This window comes from Homo sapiens, chromosome 22 (assembly GCF_000001405.40).
Source record: "Homo sapiens chromosome 22, GRCh38.p14 Primary Assembly".
Lineage (NCBI taxonomy): Eukaryota > Metazoa > Chordata > Mammalia > Primates > Hominidae > Homo > Homo sapiens.
Genome location: NC_000022.11, coordinates 30,650,491 through 30,669,613, shown reverse-complemented (window position 1 = coordinate 30,669,613; position 19,123 = coordinate 30,650,491). Strand labels below are relative to the sequence as shown.

General features: G+C 48.5%; 2 protein-coding genes and 1 pseudogene across 13 annotated transcripts in view, besides 1 other annotated feature; 2 read left to right on the top strand and 1 right to left on the bottom strand.

Annotated features, from left to right (window-relative positions):
• Positions 1 to 594: 594 nt before the first annotated feature.
• Positions 595 to 19,123, bottom strand: part of SLC35E4 (solute carrier family 35 member E4) — a 33,239-nt gene continuing 14,710 nt past the window's right edge. The window contains exons 2-3 of one of the 2 annotated variants that reach the window (NM_001318371.2): positions 4,055 to 4,121; positions 595 to 2,013 (exon numbers count right to left, since the gene is read on the bottom strand). In NM_001318371.2, coding sequence (NP_001305300.1) covers positions 4,057 to 4,121 — 65 coding nt within the window. In that variant the 3' untranslated portion in view covers positions 595 to 2,013; positions 4,055 to 4,056. Of the gene's footprint in view, positions 2,014 to 4,054; positions 4,122 to 6,314; positions 7,555 to 19,123 lie in introns of those variants that run through there. The other variant, NM_001318370.2, reaches the window with a different exon arrangement.
• Positions 1,252 to 1,641: an enhancer, noted in NCBI's record as "active region_18842". NCBI's record gives its function as "activates an Ori minimal core promoter by ATAC-STARR-seq in GM12878 lymphoblastoid cells {active_cell/tissue: GM12878}" and the evidence as "EXISTENCE:reporter gene assay evidence [ECO:0000049][PMID:35858748]".
• Positions 1,739 to 17,563, top strand: DUSP18 (dual specificity phosphatase 18). Of its 11 annotated transcripts, XM_047441159.1 has the most exons (5): positions 1,739 to 2,152; positions 2,676 to 2,807; positions 4,493 to 4,659; positions 5,534 to 6,210; positions 6,354 to 9,097. In XM_047441159.1, the coding sequence occupies exon 4, from the start codon at positions 5,611 to 5,613 to the stop codon at positions 6,175 to 6,177; it is 567 nt and encodes a 188-aa protein (XP_047297115.1). In that variant the 5' UTR covers positions 1,739 to 2,152; positions 2,676 to 2,807; positions 4,493 to 4,659; positions 5,534 to 5,610; the 3' UTR covers positions 6,178 to 6,210; positions 6,354 to 9,097. The 11 variants fall into 11 exon arrangements, 10 of the variants coding, with proteins under 10 accessions (XP_047297115.1, XP_016884117.1, XP_047297114.1 ...); XR_001755171.3 differs by lacking the exons at positions 2,676 to 2,807; positions 4,493 to 4,659 and having other exon boundaries at positions 5,534 to 5,775; positions 5,886 to 6,210; XM_017028628.2 differs by lacking the exons at positions 4,493 to 4,659; positions 6,354 to 9,097 and adding an exon at positions 17,317 to 17,563.
• On the top strand, positions 14,775 to 15,763 carry RPL13AP26 (ribosomal protein L13a pseudogene 26; annotated as a pseudogene).

Below are 19,123 nucleotides of genomic sequence, written 5' to 3'. Positions count from 1 at the left end.
GCTGGCCTGTCTTGTCTTCTTTTTATTTCTTCGAGACGGGGTCTCACTCTGTCCCCCAGGTTGGAGAGTAGTGGCACAATCTCAGCTCACTGCAACCTCCACATCCCAGGCTCAAGTGATCCTCCCACCTCAGCCTCCTGAGTAACTGGGACCACAGGTGAGCCACCAAGCCCGGCTAATTTTTTGTATTTTTGGTAGAGATGGGGTTTCACCCTGTTGCCCAGGCTGGTCTCGAACTCCTGAGCTCAGGTGATCCAACTGCCTCAGCGTTTCAAAGTGAAGTGGTGGGAATACAAGCGTGAGCCACCATGCCTGTCCTCATTTTTCTATAAGTGTACACTACTTTTATAATTGGGTCAAAAAAGACAACTGTAGAAGGATAAAAAATATTGAAGGACTAGTTTTTCTAATGCATTTTCAGCCTATTTGGAACTGGAGTGTTGTGAATGTTTTCATATTTACAAACTAGTATGAACAATCCAACTTCTCAATCTCTCATTTACATTTTTCTGACCTCTATGCATAGCCTAGGTGTGAGGTGATGGAAAAAGCTGGTTTAGAGATCAAGATGCTCAAACACAAAAGTCCCCCAAATCCTGAGAGTTTTTTGTTTTTTTAAAAAAATCCTTAAAACATTTAAAGACGCATAAAACTCTTCACCCACTCAGTGGTGCAAAAAATTTACCAATACTAGAAGGGGAGGAGGCTGGCAACGACTGGAAATATTCCCTTTCAAGTAATAAATAATGGTTATTTTGAACCAAATTGCTTTCCACCTCAAGTCCTCCATGGATGGGAGCCTGGAGGATGCAGTGATGGGGGTTATGGAATGGAAAGGAGCGTGGGTAATTGGGTTTGTGAGGATTGGGGCCAGGCAGAGGGAACTGGGGGCTTTTCCAGGACCACTGGGGAACACAGAGGCTGAGAAGGGGAGTGTGGGATGGGTTCGAGCTGGGGAGGACCTCGGCCTCGCCAGGCTCTAAGGAGAGTCACAGCTCACCACCTAGGGCGCTGGGACCACACGATGTCATGCCTGGGAGACTGAAGGGCTAGGACAGATTCTGAGAAAATGTGGACTGGAGATGGGGATTCCAGGTTCTCCCGGGAGTCCAGGCGAGGGAGTTCCGGCTTCAGGGAGTCCCAAGAGCTAGACTGGGAAGGGGCTGGTGCCCAGGACTATGAGAAATCCAGACTCCCCTGGGGTGTGAAAAAGGGCCGAGGTCCGGCTGAGGGAGAGCGAGTCTGAAAGAGTTCGGGCTCCCTTGCGGGTCCGAGAGTCTAACGAAGGCTCTGGGCACCCAGGCCGCACCTGAAGAGCACCAACGACTGCTCGGTCCGCGGCGCGGGAAGGAGATGTGCGGCTGAACCCCTACGCCGATTACTTAGCGGCGGCCCTATCGAGAGGGTGGTTCGAGCCCGAGGTGGCGCCGGTCCCGTAAATCGTGGAGGATCTCAGGTCCCCTGTGACCAAGGGCGTAGTCAGCTGTGTCATGGCGGCTTCCCTGTTCGAGAAACAGTTGGAAACTGGAGGCCGGTTGGGAGTCATGGTCGTTGGGCGCACGGAGGCCGGTTGGAAGCCATGGTCGTTGGGCGCCAGGAGGCCGGTTGAGAGCCGTGCTCGTTGGACGCGCGCAGACCTGGAGTTAGTCCCTGGGCGGAACCTGGAGCCCCGCGCGGCGCGTTGCCTGGGAGACGCATAAGGGGGCGGGGCCGGGGAGGGAGTGTCGCACATGCGCACAGAGCCCGGGCGGCTACGGAAGCGGTGAGACTGTCTCTCGGCTGCAGCCCTGGTGCGACCCGGCCCGTTGCCGTAGAGATGGGCAGGGCTGGATGGAGTGGGGTGCGGTGAGCTGAGCTGACCCTGCTTCGCCACGGGGACTGCAGTGACCCCGGCTTGCCGGCAGGGCGGGTAACAGGTTGAGCCAGGGTGGGGCTGCTCAGGGGCGTGGAGCCGAGGCCAGGATTTCTCTGAAGACCCGGCACAGGCTATTCCTTTCTGCGACGAGCCCATTGCTATGGAAACCAAAGCGTTAGGCCAGCGGGGATTGAGGCTGCGGGATCATGACGGGTCTCTCTCCCGAAGAACCTTGCCTAAGGCTTCCCCAAGCGGCTACTTCCTGAGCGAACCCGCCCACCCGCCTGAAGGAGAGAGGTAAAACCCTGGGGGTCCTGACACTAAGCAGGCGAAGAAGCCTATTCCAATGCCAGCTCCCCTAGGAAACCTACCCGGCCCACCCCTAGAAGTGATGCTTCGCTCTCGTTAACTCTTGGACTTTGTTCCATGTTTATAACTTAGTATTTCACGAACGCCCCGCGGTGTTTGTTCATTTTTCCCACACATAATGGACCATAAAGGTCGGCTTCTTTGCTTTATGACTCGTTCTGAACAAGTCCTTTTCCGCGCTGTGTCTCACTTTCCTCTTTTGTAAAATGGAAATATTAACTCTAGACGCCGGTCTGATTAGGTTGCTTTGAAGATCGAACCAGATGAGGGAAGCCAAATACTTCATAGGCTGTAAAGTGGTGAAGCTGAACTGCTACCGAGTTGCTATTTTTTTCTCCTCCTCCCTCTCAAGCTAAACGTTCTTTAGATCTTTTGTGATTTCTTCAGGTGGTCTTTGCGACTCCCTAGGCTCCGACCTGGAAGAAATCTTTTTTACACTTCCCTTTCACAGAGCCCTGCATTTTAACTTCCCTATCAGAAGCGAGAAAAATAGTTATCATTTTGAGAGGGCTTACTCTATGCCAAGCCCTGAGAAAACTCTTTACGTGGATTATCTCGTTTAATTTCACAACATCCTTTTAAGGTAGGTACTGTTATCCTATTTTCAAGCTCTGTCTGCCTGTAATTGCCTGTTTACTATCTGTTTCTCCCACTAGTCTTTGAGCTCCCTGAGAAAAGGGGCCATGCCTGTCTTGTACATTTCAGTATCTCCAACACCTAATACAGTGCCTGATAGAGATTGCTTTTTTTTTTTTTTTTTTTTTTTTTGAGATGGAGTCTCACGCTGTCTCCCAGGCTGGAGTGCAGTGGCACGATCTTGGCTCACTGCAGCCTCCGCCTCCCGGGTTCAAGCAATTCTCCCGTCTCAGCCTCCTGAGTAGCTGGGACTACAGGCCCATGCCACCACGCCTGGCTAATTTTTGTATTTTTAGTAGAGACGGGGGTTTCACCATGTTGGTCAGGCTGGTCTTGAACTCCTGACCTCAGGTGATCTGCCCGCCTCGGCCTTCCAAAGTGCTGGGATTATAGGCTTAAGCCACCGTGCCCAGCCCTGATAGATATTTCTTAACTAGCATGAAAATGACTCCTCGCATCACTACCCTCACCTGCAAGAGCATTGTCACTTCTGCAGACTTTTAGTGGCTATAATGAACAGCACATTCCTCTATTCCCGTTACCCACTGGGCACTGGTTTGGGGGGACATCAGTTCACTTCTCTATGGATTTTCTGATGACGAGGATCCAGAACATTCCTTAGCATTTAGACTTCCATCTGGGTTCAGGAGGCTTTTTCTTTGCCCTTCATATCACCTCTGTAGCAAGCCAGCCCTCTCTGTCCTTCCGGGAATGAGCCTGATGCATTTGAGTCTGGGGCATTGGCAGGTAGGATTTGCCTATACAACCTTTGGTCTTTCTCTTTAGTAGCCTCAGAACCACCCCCATCCCCACCCAGCCCCTCCCTGGAATTCTGGAGACACGCTGCCAGAGAACTCATTCTTTCCAGAAAACCTCTCAGAAGGCAGAGTCATAGCTGTTGGGAGTCATTTCTTCATTCAACAAATATTTATCAAGCACCTACTTGTGGGGACACAGCGCTTGGCACTAGTTGGTGATAGAGTGGGAGTGAAGACAGACACCATCATATCCCTAAAGGGCTCACAGTCTCTTGGGGAGACAGACATTAATCAAATAATCAGACAGATCGGAGCAAAACTACGTCTTCAGTAAGTGTTAGGAAGGAGAGAACATAGGGCTAAGAAAGCCTGGAGCAGAGTTGGTCAAACGTGAGGGAGGGGTGTGATCTAAGGAGATTTCCCTTAAAACAGTTACCTTTAAGTTGATATCTTAAGGCTCCTCAGACTTCTGCAGTCCTCTGCTGAATGGACCAGATCAGGATCTGATGGGTTCATAAGGAAAGAGACTGAGAGATCAGCAGGGGCAAAGGCCACTGGCTGGAGAGGACAGGTTGTCCCTAAGGAACTGTAAGTGGCTCGGTTCACCTGAGGCCCTTCAGAGCATGGAGAAGCCTAATAAGAGGCTGGAGAGACAGGCAGGAGCCAGGTCACAAATGGCCTTGACAGCCAAACTAAGTGGCTCCATCTTATCCTCACAGTGGATAGCCACTGAAATATATTAAGCAGGGAAACAAAACTTTGGCTCCTCATTTCTCGTGCCTGGTGAAGACTGCCACTTGGCCTTGAAAGGTGTGATCTAAATCCAAATGTCCCTATTTCAGCGGAATGTATAAAGATGTCCTGGTTTTTGCAGCTTTGTTTAAGACTGAGAAAGTGAGGGTCCGAGAGTCTAATGAATGCTCTGGGCACCCAGGCCGCACCTGAGGAGCACCGACGACTGCACGGTCTGCGGCGCGGGAAGCAGATCTGCGGCTGAACCTCTACCCCAATTACTTAGCGGCGACTGAGCCTATCGAGCAGGTGAAGGGAAGGGGTCTGCCTCTCCCTGGGGTGTGTTTCACAGCTCTGCTGCAGGCAGCATGATGCAGGTGTGGCAGGTCTTCCTAAGGCCCTGCTGTCTCTGTGCTTGTCCCTGGGGTTGCTGTGGTGCCCATTATGCTGGCTTCCAGGAAGCTTTCAGCCACTCCCTTTCCCAGGCCTTCTTCAGAGGCAAGGTGCAGGAGCATGTCTAACAATTTAGGACTTTGTATTTGACATCAGCTTCGCATGGGCATATCCTGTCTCTTTAAAGAGATGGTTCTTAGAGGGGGAAAATGGGAACCCTCCCTACTCTTATACCAGCCTCCTCAGTGACTGCCAGCACAGTGGGCTCTGGTTCCATGCCACTGGCTCAGGACCTTATGATTTGGGCATAAAGTCAGAAGACTGAGGAGGAAGACTGTACAAATGGTTCCCACTCAGAGGGGCTGGAAGGAAGGAGAGAATTTGGAAGAGCAGCAAGAAAAGGGCTCTGTGAGCTTAAATGGAGAATCAGGCCAAGGCACAGCTGAGGGACACAAGTCATCTGCCCAACTAGAGCTGTGGGACCCCTCAAGGGAGGCCTCAAGTGCCAGACTTGGGGACTTGCCATTTGTCCTATAGGGCAGTGCACATTAGACCACCTGAGAAGCATGCTGAAAATGCAGATTCATGCTCTTCACCCCGAGAGTCTGACTGTGGGTTTGGAGAGGGACCTGGGTATCTGTACTTTAAATGAGTTTGCTGGGTAGTTCTGCTGTGATGGTCAGAGGACTGCCTTGGGGAATGCTATAAGCCTATCCATCCATTTCCCAGGGATCCCCTGGAATTGGCCCTCTGGGCACCTGCCCTCTAAACATCCTCTCCCTCTCTGCAGTTTTCCATGGACACAGCCTAGCAGAAAGACGCAGCCTTCGTGCTTCGCTGACTGCTGACCACTGACCCACCGCCTTGATGACAGCACCCTCGTGTGCCTTCCCAGTTCAGTTCCGGCAGCCCTCAGTCAGCGGCCTCTCGCAGATAACCAAAAGCCTGTATATCAGCAATGGTGTGGCCGCCAACAACAAGCTCATGCTGTCTAGCAACCAGATCACCATGGTCATCAATGTCTCAGTGGAGGTAGTGAACACCTTGTATGAGGATATCCAGTACATGCAGGTACCTGTGGCTGACTCCCCTAACTCACGTCTCTGTGACTTCTTTGACCCTATTGCTGACCATATCCACAGCGTGGAGATGAAGCAGGGCCGTACTTTGCTGCACTGTGCTGCTGGTGTGAGCCGCTCAGCTGCCCTGTGCCTCGCCTACCTCATGAAGTACCACGCCATGTCCCTGCTGGACGCCCACACGTGGACCAAGTCATGCCGGCCCATCATCCGACCCAACAGCGGCTTTTGGGAGCAGCTCATCCACTATGAGTTCCAATTGTTTGGCAAGAACACTGTGCACATGGTCAGTTCCCCAGTGGGAATGATCCCTGACATCTATGAGAAGGAAGTCCGTTTGATGATTCCACTGTGAGCCATCCCACGAGCCCCTGCATTGGAGTCAGAGGTACAGATCTATTGTTGATCTTACACCAAGATCCAAACTTGAACATTCTACTTTTGTTGATACAGAAAAAAACAGATGATGCCTTTTATGAGCACAAAAAAGAGTTGCTGTAGCTTTTAACTTTATAATCCATTTTTTTTAAGATTAAACTAATTGTGAGATGGTGAAGATAAATTTTCTGCCCTGTGAGTGACACTGGCCAGGGGATAGGTTGAGGCAGATGGTGCCCAGAAGAAAGAGGGCAGCACCCATTGCACATGGCAGGCCTGGAATCCTGCAGCCCTCCCCAAAAACAGATTGACCCAGGAATGAATCTGCTACAATTCCACCTCATTCTTTCACACCCAGAGCCAGAGCCTTAAGCATCATGGTACCTCTTGCGCTTCTTACAGTGAGTGCCAATCTACTAGATAAATGGCCTTCAGGCAGTGCTCCAGGAATCCTGGGGGGTCCCAGGCCACCTCTGCTTCCACCTTCACTATAAGTGGCCCAGTTCTGGTTTTCTAGATTGTACTTATGCATAAGATAGTTTTTAAAGAAAGCATTCCACTGTGTAAATTTTTTTTTGTCTTTTTTTGAAACTGTCCTGCTCTGTCACCCATCCTAGAGTGCAGTAGTGTGATCATGGCTCACTGTAGCCACAACCTCTCAGGCTCAAGTGATCCTCTTACCTTAGCCTCCTGCGTGGCTGGGACTACAGATGTTTGCCACCATGCCCGCCTCATTTTTTTTCTTTTTTTATAGAGATGAGATTTTACTATGTCGCCCAGACTGGTCTCAAACTCCTGGCCTCAAGCAATCCTCACGCCTCAGCCTCCCAAAGTGTTGATGAGCCACTGTACCCCGATACCACTGTATAAAAAATTTAAAAAAAATTGTGAGTGCTATTGTACATGGCAAAGTTTCAAAGAGCTCTTGGCCATCCCTCACCAAACTTTGGCAAAAGATGGTGTTAGTCCCCTTCTCCAGGGCACATGAGAAAAACAGGCCTAACATCAGGTCTCAGCGGTTCCTCTCACAGGCCTTGGCTTGGAAGGCTGGAGCTTCGGACCAAGGCCCAGCCCTGTCACCTCCTCTTCATGTGATGTGGACCCCTGGGAGCATCAGTGTCCTCATCTGTCCAATGACAGCCCTTTTCTCACAGAGTTATTGTGAAGATTCAACAATTTCTTGGCATAGTGCCTGGCACATGGTGTGTGCTTAGCGCAAATGGCAGCTCTCATCATGAATGATAGACTCTTTCACCCTGCTGGTCCCAGGTCGGCACACACATCCCCATAATGGCATTTCTCCTTTCTGTGCACAGCACTTTATTGTTACAAAGTACTCTTCCAAAAAGTTACCCTGTGTGTAAAAAAAAAAAAAAAAAAAAATGGTTTAAGTCCTTTCAGACCCTACCTCACAGGAGGCCTAGACTTAGAGCCTTTTGAGAGCTTCCGTCTTGTTTAATCTAGGTGCAATCTAGAGGTCCTGAAACAAGGAGCACAGTTCCAGCTTCCCCCAATCACTTCTAAACAGTGACTGCAGCCTTGTTTAGAATCACTATGAAAACCTGCACCCCGGCTGACTACTGGGATCCATAAGGGGGCCGTGTCAAAGGGACTAACTAGTGGACTCCATCAGTAGGCCCTGGAATTCAGGATTGTTCACATCCTCTTGGTGCCAAGGACCTGGCTGAAGACCAGCTCTTCTGATCCAGAGGTTTTCAGCAAACAGCATTTGAAACAAAAGCACAGCTGCTCTGTTTGACACCAAACTGTGGCTCCAGATTCCAGTAGAAGCCAAATGCTTTTTCTTTTAACAGCTGGGTGCCTGTAATCCCAGTTACTTGGGAGGCTGAGGCAGGAGAATTGCTTGAACCCAGGAGGCGGAGGTTGCAGTGAGCCGAGCTTGCACCATTGCACTCCAGCCTGGGCAACAAGAGTGAGACTCCATCTCAAAAAGAAAAAAAAAAAAAAAGAAAAAGAAAAGAAAAAAAGAAATGCTTGGGACCAGAAATATTTTGGATTATTTTCAGGTTAATATTTGCTTTACCTGAAGCAAATATTACTTGAGCATCCCAACTCTAAAATCCAGAATGCTTAAATGAGTATTTCCTTTGATAGTCATTTCAGCTCTCAAAAAGTTTTAGATTTTGAGCATTTCACATTTTTGGATTTGAGATCCATGAATGGGTCTCAAACTATATTTCACTTGGCGGGGGGGTGGCTATTGTAGATTTTTTTTCCAATTGCTCATTATTAGTATATAGAAATACAATTGAGGCCGGGCGTGGTGGCTCATGCCTGTAATCCCAACACTTTGGGAGGCCGAGGTGGCCAGATCACTTGAGGTCAAGTGTTCGAGACCAGCCTGGCCAACATGGCAAAAGCCTTGTCTCTGCTAAAAATACGAAAGCAGGGCGTAGTGGCAAGTGCCTGTAATCCCAGCTACTGAGATTAGAGAATGAAACAGGAGAATTACTTGAACCCGGGAGGCAGAGGTTGCAGTGAGCCAAGATCAGGACATTGCACTCCAGCCTGGGCAACAGAGCAAGACTCCATCTCAAAAAAAAAAAAAAAATTGTTCTATGCCTTCTGGCCTCCATGGTTTTTTCTCAGAAATCCAGAGGCATTCTAACTATTGTTTCCCAACAGGTAATGCTTTATTTTTCCCCAGCTGCTTTTTAAGATTTTCTCCTTGTCTTTGGTTCTCATCAGTTTAATTATGATGTATATGGACATGGATTTCTTTCGGTTATCCTTATCAGAGTTCACAGAGCCACTTGATTGTGTTTCAGATATCTGGGAAGTTCTCAGCTATGATTTCTTCAAGTATTGTTTTCTGTACCATACTGTCCTGTACTTCTGTGTCATTGATAACATGAATGTTAGAGCTTTTGACATTGTCCGTGAATTCCTGAGACTATTCATTTTTTAAAAAATTTTCTCTAGGTGGGTGTGGTGGCATGCACCTGTAGTCCCAGCTATTTGTTGGGGCTGAAGTGAGAGATCACTTGAGCCCAGGAGGGAGGTCAAGGCTGCAGTGAGCCAAGATCGTGCCTCTGCTCTCCAGCCTGAGTGACAAAGTGAGACTGTGTTTCAAAAAAAAAATTTTTTTCTCTCTGCTGCTCATTTTGGATAATGTATTAGTTTACTCTTGGTGCTGTAACAAATTACCACAAACTTAGTGGCTTAAAACAACATCCATATATTTTCTCACAATTTCTATAGGTCAGAAGCTTGATTGGACTTGACTAGGTCCTCTGCTTAGAGTCTCACAAGGTCCAAATCACGTTTCATACGGCCAAAACCAAATGTGTTTTTCCCTGGAGGCTCTGAGGAAGAATCTGCTTCCACATTCATTTGGGTTCTTGGCTGAATTTAGTGTATTGCAGTTGCAGGGTAGAGGACCCTGTTTTCTTAGCTGTCAGCTGGGGGTTGGCCTTTTCTCTGTAGAAGCTGCCCACATTCTGGTGCTTTCTACGTGTGCCCCTCCAGAAATAGGTTGAATTCTTCTCACACTTTAAATACTTCTAACTTTTCCTTCTGTTACATCTAAGTCCAGCCAGAGAGAATCACTCTGCTTTAAAAGACTCATGTGATTAGAATGAGCCCACTAACATAAAAATAAAATCAGTTACATCTGCATAAGTTACATCTGCAGTCTCCTTTGTCATATAAAGTAACATTCACATTTTCCAGGGAATAGGTCAGAAACATCATTTCCAAATCTTGATTCTTATATTTTCTTAGTTCTAAAATTCTTATTTAGCCTGTAATCCCTGCACTTTGGGAGGTTGAGGCTGGTGGATCACCTGAGGTCAGGAGTTCGAGACCACCCTGGCCAACATGTTGAAACCCCGTCTCTAAAAATACAAAAAATTAGCTGGATGTGGTGGCGGGCGCCTGTAATCACAGCTACCCGGGAGGCTGAGGCGGAAGAATCGCTTGAACCCAGGAGGCGGAGGTTGCAGTGAGCCAAGATCATGCTATTGAACTCGAGCCTGGGCAATAAGAGTGAAACTCCATCTCAAAAAAAAGAGAGAAAAAAAGAGTCTTTTTCTGATAATTCCAACATCTGGGTCATCTCAGGGTCCAGACTTTCCTTGTTCTTTGTGTGTAATTTTGATTGTATCCTAGGCATTTTGAATAGGTCTTGTTTAAATCCCACGGAAAATGTCAGGTTTTTGTTTTAGGAGGCAGTTGACCCTCTTCGGTTCGATCCTCATCTGTCTCCTGTGGGCTATTGTAGTTCCAGTATCAGTTCAGTTTCTTCTTTTTTTTTTTTTTTTTTTTTTTGAGATGGAGTCTCGCTGTGTCGCCTAGGCTGGAGTGCAATGGCGCAATCCCAGCTCACTGCAAACTCCGCCTCCCAGGTTCACGCCATTCTCCTGCCTCAGCCTCCCGAATAGCTGGGACTACAGGGACCCGCCACCATGCCTAGTAGAGATGCGGTTTCGCCATGTTAGCCAGGATGGTCTCGATCTCCTGATCTCGTGATCCACCCGCCTCAGCCTCCCAAAGTGCTGGGATTACAGGCGTGAGCCACCGCGCCCAGCCGATCAGTTCAGTTTCAAAGCCTTTGCCATGTAAATCAGAACAGTCCTAAGCTTATGCCCCCCAGTGAGCAGTCTGAAACCTGGGTGTTCTGCCTAATAGTTCAGTTCTCATTCACTGGAATACTGCTTAGGGTCAGGTCCATGCATGTGAACCTACAAATTCATGTGCAACTTTATGGGATCTATTTCACAAGCTCTCTCCTGTCCACATTCTCCAGCTTTCAAGACCCCTCATTTTCCTGACCCTTTAGCTAGAAATTGGGTCCTTTAGTCTCCCTGCTTGTTACGCACCCTCCATGGCGGGTGTACTCTTGGGCCAGGTGACAGGATGAAGAGAGAAAAAAGGCAACGGAGATTCCCCTCTTCTACTTTTCAGATTGCAGATGCTTTGGACAGATGAAAGGATTCCGCTTTGTCAGAGTTTTAGGTGCTTTTCTGGCCACCACTGTTACTGCTGCTACCCCCAAAAAAAAAAAATTTTTTTTTTTCTAGAGACAGAGTCTCATTGTGTTGCCCAGGCTGGTCTCAAACTCCTGGCCTCAAGTGATCCTCCTGCCTCAGCCTCCCAAAGTTCTGGGATTATAGGCATGAGCAACCGCACCCAGCCTTGTTAATATTTCTTTTTCAGAGTCCTCAGATCCATTATTTCCAGGGCTTTTAGTTGCAGCCAGTGGGAGAGACAGACTGCTTACTCTATCTTACTTAGAACTAGAACCCCGAGAGATTCAGTTTTTTTTAACTAAAAAAAAAAATTTATTTTGAAATGGTCTTATTCTGTTGCCCAGGCTAGATACTGTGGTGTGATCACCGCCCACTGCAGCCTCAAACTCCCAGCCTCCAATGATCCTCTTACCTTAGCCTCCTGAGTAACTGGAACCTAGAGGTACTCAACACCATATCCAGCTAATCATTATTATTATTATTATTATTATTATTATTATTATTATTATTATTATTTTTGAGACAGAGTCTTGCACTGTTGCCCAGGCTGGAGTGCAGTGGCGTGATCTTGGCTCACTGCAAGCTCCGCCTCCCGAGTTCACGTCATTCTCCTGCCTCAGCCTCCCGAGTAGCTGGGACTACAGGTGCCCGCCACCACACCCGGCTAATTTTTTGTACTTTTAGTAGAGATGGGGTTTCACCGTGTTAGCCAGGATTGTCTCGATCTCCTGACCTCGTGATCCACCTGACTCGGCCTCCCAAAGTACTGGGATTACAGGCATGAGCCACCGCGCCTGGCCTATTTTTTAAATCTTTAAAAAATTTTTTTAGAGACAGCGTCTCACCATATTTCCCAGGCTGGTCTCAAATTCCTGGGCTCAAGTGATCTACCTGTCTTTGCTTCCCAAAGTGCTGGGATTATAGGCGCGACCCACTACACCCGGCCAGAATTTTTTTTTTTTTTGAGACAGAGTCTTGCTCTGTCACCCAGGCTAAAGTGCAATGGTGTGATCTCGGCTTACTGCAACCTCCGCCTCCTGGGTTCAAGCAATTCTCCTGCCTCAGCCTCCCAAGTAGCTGGGATTACAGGTGCCCGCCCCCACGCCCGGCTAATTTGTGTGTGTGTGTGTGTGTGTGTGTGTGTGTTTTTAGTAGAGACAGGGTTTCACCGTGTTGGCCAGGCTGGTCTCAAACTCCTGACCTCAGGTGATCCACCCACCTCGGCCTCCCAAAGTGCTGGGATTACAGGTGTGAGCCACTGCACCCAGCCCAGAAATTTATCTTACATGCTTATTCGTAGAAAAAGGAAAACAAATATGGTCCAGCCACAATATCCCCATCGTTGTAACCAAGTCAACATATTAGTATTGTGATCTAGTTCCTTCCTCCTGAGCATTTTTTTCATAGTTGAGTAAACATAATTTTCATTCCTCCTTTTTTAAGTTTTAATTACTTTATATTTTTATACAAAATAGAGATGGGGTTTCACTATGTTGACCAGGCTGGTCTCGAACTCCTGGGCTCAAGTGATCCTTCCTCCTCAGCCTCCGAAAGTGCTGTGATTACAGGCATGAGCCACTGGGCCAAGCCATTCCTCCTTTTTAACTCTCTTTTTAAATATTCAGAATTGGACATGATGAGACCAGGAGTTCATATCCTAAGTGGGAGAGGTTAAGGTTGAGGGCTTTTGAGAGGGTCCACGTCCTTTTCCCAAACAGTTCACACTGTTCTTTTGGACTCAGAGTAGAGCAGCCTTTTACTCAGACAACCTAGGAAGAAGGTCATGTTGAGGTTTGAATGCAGTCCTATAGTAGGGGAGAAAGAAGTGGTCCCATAGCCTACCAGCCTGGCTTAGAACAGGGATTCTAGGCCTCTTTTTGATTACATGAACCTTTAACTTTCTCACTCCAAAAGTGAGGAATCACTTTCTTTCCAAAGTCAATTAAATTTGGTTTGAGAAGTTTCTGTGAAGTTTATAATGCCCTGTCAGATAAACAGGGACATGCTGTTGGCCCTGAGGATTTCTCGGAATGATCTCTGTTGAGATGGCGATCTAATTACAAATCCCAGGGGCAGGTAGCTCTTGACCTTGAAGCACACAGCCCTGCTTTCCTATCCTGGGATGTTAAATCCAAATGCCCTTAGAGTCCAAGTGCAGTGGCTCATGCCTGTAATCCCAGCCCTTTGGGTGGCTGAGGCAGGAGGATCACTTGAGCCTGGGAATTTGCGATCAGCCTGGGCAACATAGTGAGACTCCTTCTCTACAAAAAGTTTAAAAAAAAAAAGCCCAGCATGGTGGTGCACACCTGTAGTCCCAGCTACTTGGGAAGCTGAGGTGGGAGGATCGCTTGAGCCCAAGGAGGTTGAGGCTGCAGTCAACTATGATGGCACCACTGCACTGCGTCCTCAGCAACAGAGTGAGACCCTTTTGCCCAGGATGCAGTGCAGTGGTGCCTCAATAAATGAATGAAAATAAGAAAAAAAAAAGTCCTAAGAATCCATTACTTTCCACCTCTGGATCGTGACCCAATATCACCTAAGAAGGAGCTTGGGAGGAATGTTAAGAGGTGTGGATTCTCATCCTGACTCTTCCACCTCTTGGCTTTGACTTCAGGCAGACCCTGGAATTTTTCTGAAATTTTGCTTACTCTGTTAAATGGGAATCACAATGCCATCCGTGCATAAGAAGGCACCCCACAGACCTCTATTTACAGAAAGCAGAATTGACTATGGGCTCCCAGCTGTGACACTGAAATCCATCATCATGTTTATGCTGAAACCAGATTCCTTGAGGCTCCTTCTAGCTAGTTCCTGGGTATGGAAGGGATACTAAGGCAGGCCCATTTCTGGGAGACATGCTAGACGTGCCCTTGGCAAAACATTTGTAATTACTTTTCCTGGAAGAAAAAAAAAAAGGATATTTTGTTGACTGAGCTATGCAATGCCAGGCTAGTGGCTTCTTTTTTTCTTTTTCTTTTTTTTTTTTTTTTTTTGGTAGGATCTCACTCTGTTACCCAGAGTGGAGTGCAGTGGTGTAATCACAGCCCACTGCAGCCTCCCATCTCAGCCTCCCAAGTAGCTGGGACTACAGGCGTGCACCACCATACTTGGCTATTTTTTTTTTTTTTCCGTAGAGACAGGGTTTTGCTATGTTGTCCAGATGGGTCTGGAACTCCTGGGCTCTAGCCATCCACCTTTCTCAGCCTCCCAAAGTGCTAGGATTACAGGTGTGAGCCACCATACCTGGCTGCTGGCTTCTTGTGGCAAACTGTCCCTACAACCCTGGGCCAGACCCTGCACAGCCCCTGTAACTTCACACCGTGGCTCTGTTCTTCATAGCAGTGTAGGGAGCAGAGAATAGCAGAACCCCAGGAATTAGGAGGGTGAAGTCCTAATCCTACTGCTCCCTCTGCACAAGGTCGTCTTGGTTCTTTCTATTCTTTGGGCTTCAGTTTCCTCATATGGACAACGAGGATTGAACTAGATCTGTGGTTTTCAAACAGGGTTCCAGGGAAATCTGGCAGAGGTACCTCAGGGGTGAAGGGGCCCCATGCCCTTCCCTGTTTCATCTAAAAATAGGGAACTCCTTTCCCAGGCGGCTGCCGAAGATGGCAGAGGGGCAGGTCCCGGTGCTCAATGGTCAAAGCTATCTCCTGGGCTTCCTGAGGGCCATGGTGGCTAAGCAGGCCGGAAGGTGGTGGTCGTACACTGCGGGGGCATCAGTATTTCTGGCAATGTCTATAGAAAGAAGTTGAAGTACCTGGCCTTCCTCCACAAGTGGATGAACAGCAACCCTTCCCGAGGCACCTACCACTTCTGGGCCCCCACCACTTCCGGGTCCCCAGCCGCATCTTCTGGCGGACCCCGAGGCATGCTGCCCCGCGAGACCAAGGAAGCCAGGCCGCCCAAGACCGCCTCAAGGTGTTTAACGGCATCCCACCACCCTATGACGAAAAAGCAGGTGGTGGTTCCTGCTGCCCTCCAGGTTGTGCATCTGAAGCCTACAAGAAAGTTTGCCTACCTGGGGCAGCTGGATCACAAAGTTGGCTGGAAGTACCAGACAGTGACAGCCACCCTGGAGGAGAAGAGGAAGGAGAAGGCCAAGATCCACTACCAGAATAAGAAACAGCTCATGGGATGGCCGGGCGCGGTGGCTCACGCCTGTAATCCTAGCACTTTGGGAGGCGGAGGCGGGCAGATCAGGAGGTCAGGAGATTGAGACCATCCTGGCTAACATGGTGAAACCCAGTCTCTACTAAAAAAATAAAAAATAAAAATAGCCGGGCGTGGTGGCGGGCGCCCGTAGTCTCAGCTACTTGGGAGGCTGAGGCAGGAGAATGGCGTGAACCCGTGGGGCGGAGCTTGCAGTGAGCCGAGATCGCGCCACTGCACTCCAGCCTGGGCGACAGAGTGCGACTCCGTCTCAAAAAAAAAAAACAAAAAAACAAAACAGCTAATGAGGCTACAGAAACAGGCCGAAAAGAACGTGGAGAAGGAAACTGACAAATACTGGGGTGTCCTCAAGACCCATGGACTCCTGCTGTGAGCCCAATAAAGACTGTTTACTCCTCAATAAATAAATAAATATGTAAATAAATAAAAACAGGGAACTGTGCTTTGGCTTGATTGATTTTGGGCTCCAGCCTAACAAGGGTTCTCCTCCAAAGAAAGTCTAAACATACAAACAGAAATTCCCAGCCTAGGCAGCAGGTACAGCTGGGATGCTGGCAGTGCTTAGAGAAGGGAGGCGGCCAGGCGTGGTGGCTCAGGGCTGTATCCCAAGCACTTTGGGAGGCCGAGGGGGGGCGGGTCACTTGAGATCAGGAGTTCGAGACCAGCCTGGCCAACATGGTGAAACCCAGTCTCTACTAAAATACAAAAAAATTAGCCGGGCATGGTAGTGTGCACCTGTAGTTCCACCTACTCAGGAGGCTGAGGCAGGAGAATCGCTTGAACCCAGGAGGCGGAGGTTGCAGTGAGCCGAGATCGCACCACTGCACTCCAGTCTGGGTGACAGAGCAAGACTCTGTCTCAAAAAAAAAAAAAAAGAAGGAGGAAGGGGGCACATGAGGGTTGTGGCAGTCGGGATAGGGCAGCAGGAGACCTAGACACTGAAAAACTTCAGCAGGCATAGAGAACAGGGTGGCCCCCCAATAGCCGAAGGGTTCAGGGCAGTGGGGGTAGGCTTGGAAACGTCAGAACATCCAGGGCTTCAAATACCAGGCCAGGGAGCCCAGGCCTTGACCTGCCAGTGGTGGGGAGCACAGAAGGCAGCCACCAGCCCTCACTGAGCAAGCATTTACTAAGTGCATGCTGTGGGCCAGGACTGTGCAATACTTGGTTAGGGAGGATGCAGAGGTGTGGCTGACAAGACCCCACCCAGAACAGAATACTCCCAGGCTAATTCCTCATAGGGCTCCAGGTTATGTCCTCACGTCCTCAATCACTCATTCAATAGATATTCACTGATATGGTAGCTAGCCTCAGAGATGTCCTCAGTAATCCCATCTTCCTGGTAATCCTGCCTTTGTGTAGTCAATGTGGGAAGGGCTCACACTAAATAGACTTGTAACCAATAAGATACTGGAGAAATGACAGAGTGTGACTTTTGAGATCAGATTTAAAAGGACTTTGTGGTTTCTTGTTCTCTTGAATCACTCACTTTGGTGGACACCAACTACTATGTGTTGAGGACACTCAAGGGGCCCTATGGAGAAGCCCACATGGCAAGGAACTGAGGCCTCCTGCCAACAGCCACGTGAATGCCCCATTTTGAATGTAAATCTGAAGCCGCCTTTGCAAAATTGTGACTGATACAGTGGAAGAGATCTAACTTAATTGACTCCATCTTGCTTCTAATCTCCAAGTTGTCTTTATTCATTCCTGGGCATAGGCTGAACTAACATTCGGAGAAACTTAGTTTATAGTTTATAGATTAAAATGAAGATGATAATGGCCCTTTCCCAAAGCAGACCTCTTTCTTGCCTAGGGACTAGATTGCCTATATAGGACTAACATTAGCCACAAGATTAGAAATTATGGCTTAGGAGTCATGCAGCTGGAGGCTGCAAGATTCTGACCTTCCCTAAACTGCTCCTAAGATCAGTGCTTGTGATATTTTGCAGCCCCTGCCCTTGATGGATCAGCTGGCACCACCCAGATTGATAAACTGGCTCGTCTGATCTTGTGGCCCCCACCCAGGAACTGACTGGGCACTAGAAAACAGCTTCAACATCCTGTGATTTCATCCCTGACCAATCAGCACTCCTGTCTCACTGGCTTCCCCCAACCCACCAAGTTGTCCTTAAAACTCTGCTCCCTGAATGGTCGGGGAGACTGATTTCAGTAATAGTAAAACTCTGGTCTCCTGCACACCAGGCTCTGTGTGAATTACTCTTTCTCTATTGCAGTTCCCCTGTCTTGATAAATCAGCTTTGTCTAGGCAGTGGGCAAAGTGAACCCACTGGGGGGCCACAAATCCTCCAGCCCCAGCCAAGCTTTCAGATGACTGAAGCTCAGACCAACATCTTGACTACAACTTAATGAGAAACTCAACCAGAACCAACCCACTAAGCCACTCCCGAATTCCTGATCCACTGAAACTGTGAGATACTACATGTTTGTTGCTCTAAGCCATAAGATTTTGAGATAAATTGTTACTCTAAATCAATACAACCGATACCCACTCTGCCCTAGCACTGTCCCCACTGTCATGGAGTTACCTAGACCACAACAACAGGTCTTCCCTAGTCTTCCTGCCTCCTGTCTTGAGCCCCTCCAATTTTTTCTCTACATAGGGTCCAGACTAAATTGAAGGTCTACTTATCAAGAAATGTTTATTTTGGCCAAGCGCAGTGGCTCACGCCTGTAATCCTAGCACTTTGGGAGGCCAAGGCAGGTGGATTTCTTGAGGTCAGGAGTTCAAGACCAGTCTGGGTAACATGGTGAAACCCCATCTCTACCAAAAAAAAAAAAAAAAAAAAAAAAAAAAAAAATATATATATATATATATATATATATATACACACACACACACACACACACACACACAAAAATTAGCCACGTGTGGTGGCATATGCCTGTAATCCCAGCTACTCAGGAGGCTGAGGCAGAAGAATCACTTGAACCTGGGAGGCAGAGGTTGCAGTGAGCCAAGATTGCACCACTGCATTCTAGCCTGGGCGACAGAGCGAAACTCTGTCTCAAAAAAAGAAAAGAAAAGAAATAAAAGATCATGGCTCAAAACCTCTCGTGGTCCTCCATTAAGTGGCCCTCAATTAAGTATTTTGTGCTACTTCCAGGAAGTTATTTAGTGCAGTGGTGGAGGATTTGACATCCCTGAGCTAATTTGAGGGCAGAGTAGCATGAAGGAGCTACTCCTTCCAGGGGGCCAGGCCAAACAAGGACTCACAATCCTTGTTTGCCCTGGCCCCCTGGAATGCCAATCCAAGGGCCACCAGGGGAGGGTAGAAGGGGCACCAGGCAGCTAGGCCTGAGACAGGTCTTTGTTTCGAAGTCCACAATGGCAGGATGCCCAGCACAGACCCAGCTTCCCAGGCTTCCTCCAAAGCAGGACAAGGGGGCTGGAGGCTTGGCATCCACGCTGCTATGCTCAGGCGGGAGCATGCCTGGGGGACTCTCAAATGTGCTCTGGCAGGCTGAGGAGGGGTGGGGCAGATAACACGAGAAGCCTTGAGGAGGAAGTGGAAGCATCTGTGATAAGACTGAGGCCTTCCTAGGCCTTTGTCCATTACAGCTCCAGAAGCTGGTGGGGGATTAGGTTCCACTGCTGCCCCCACTCAATGCACAGAGGCACAGGTGGAGAGGACCTTGTGCAAGGTCACAGAGCTCAGATGTACCAAAGCCAGGATTCGAGCACAAGTCAAACTCCAGAGCCCCTGTTCTTTTTTATTTTTGTTTATTTTTTGAGAT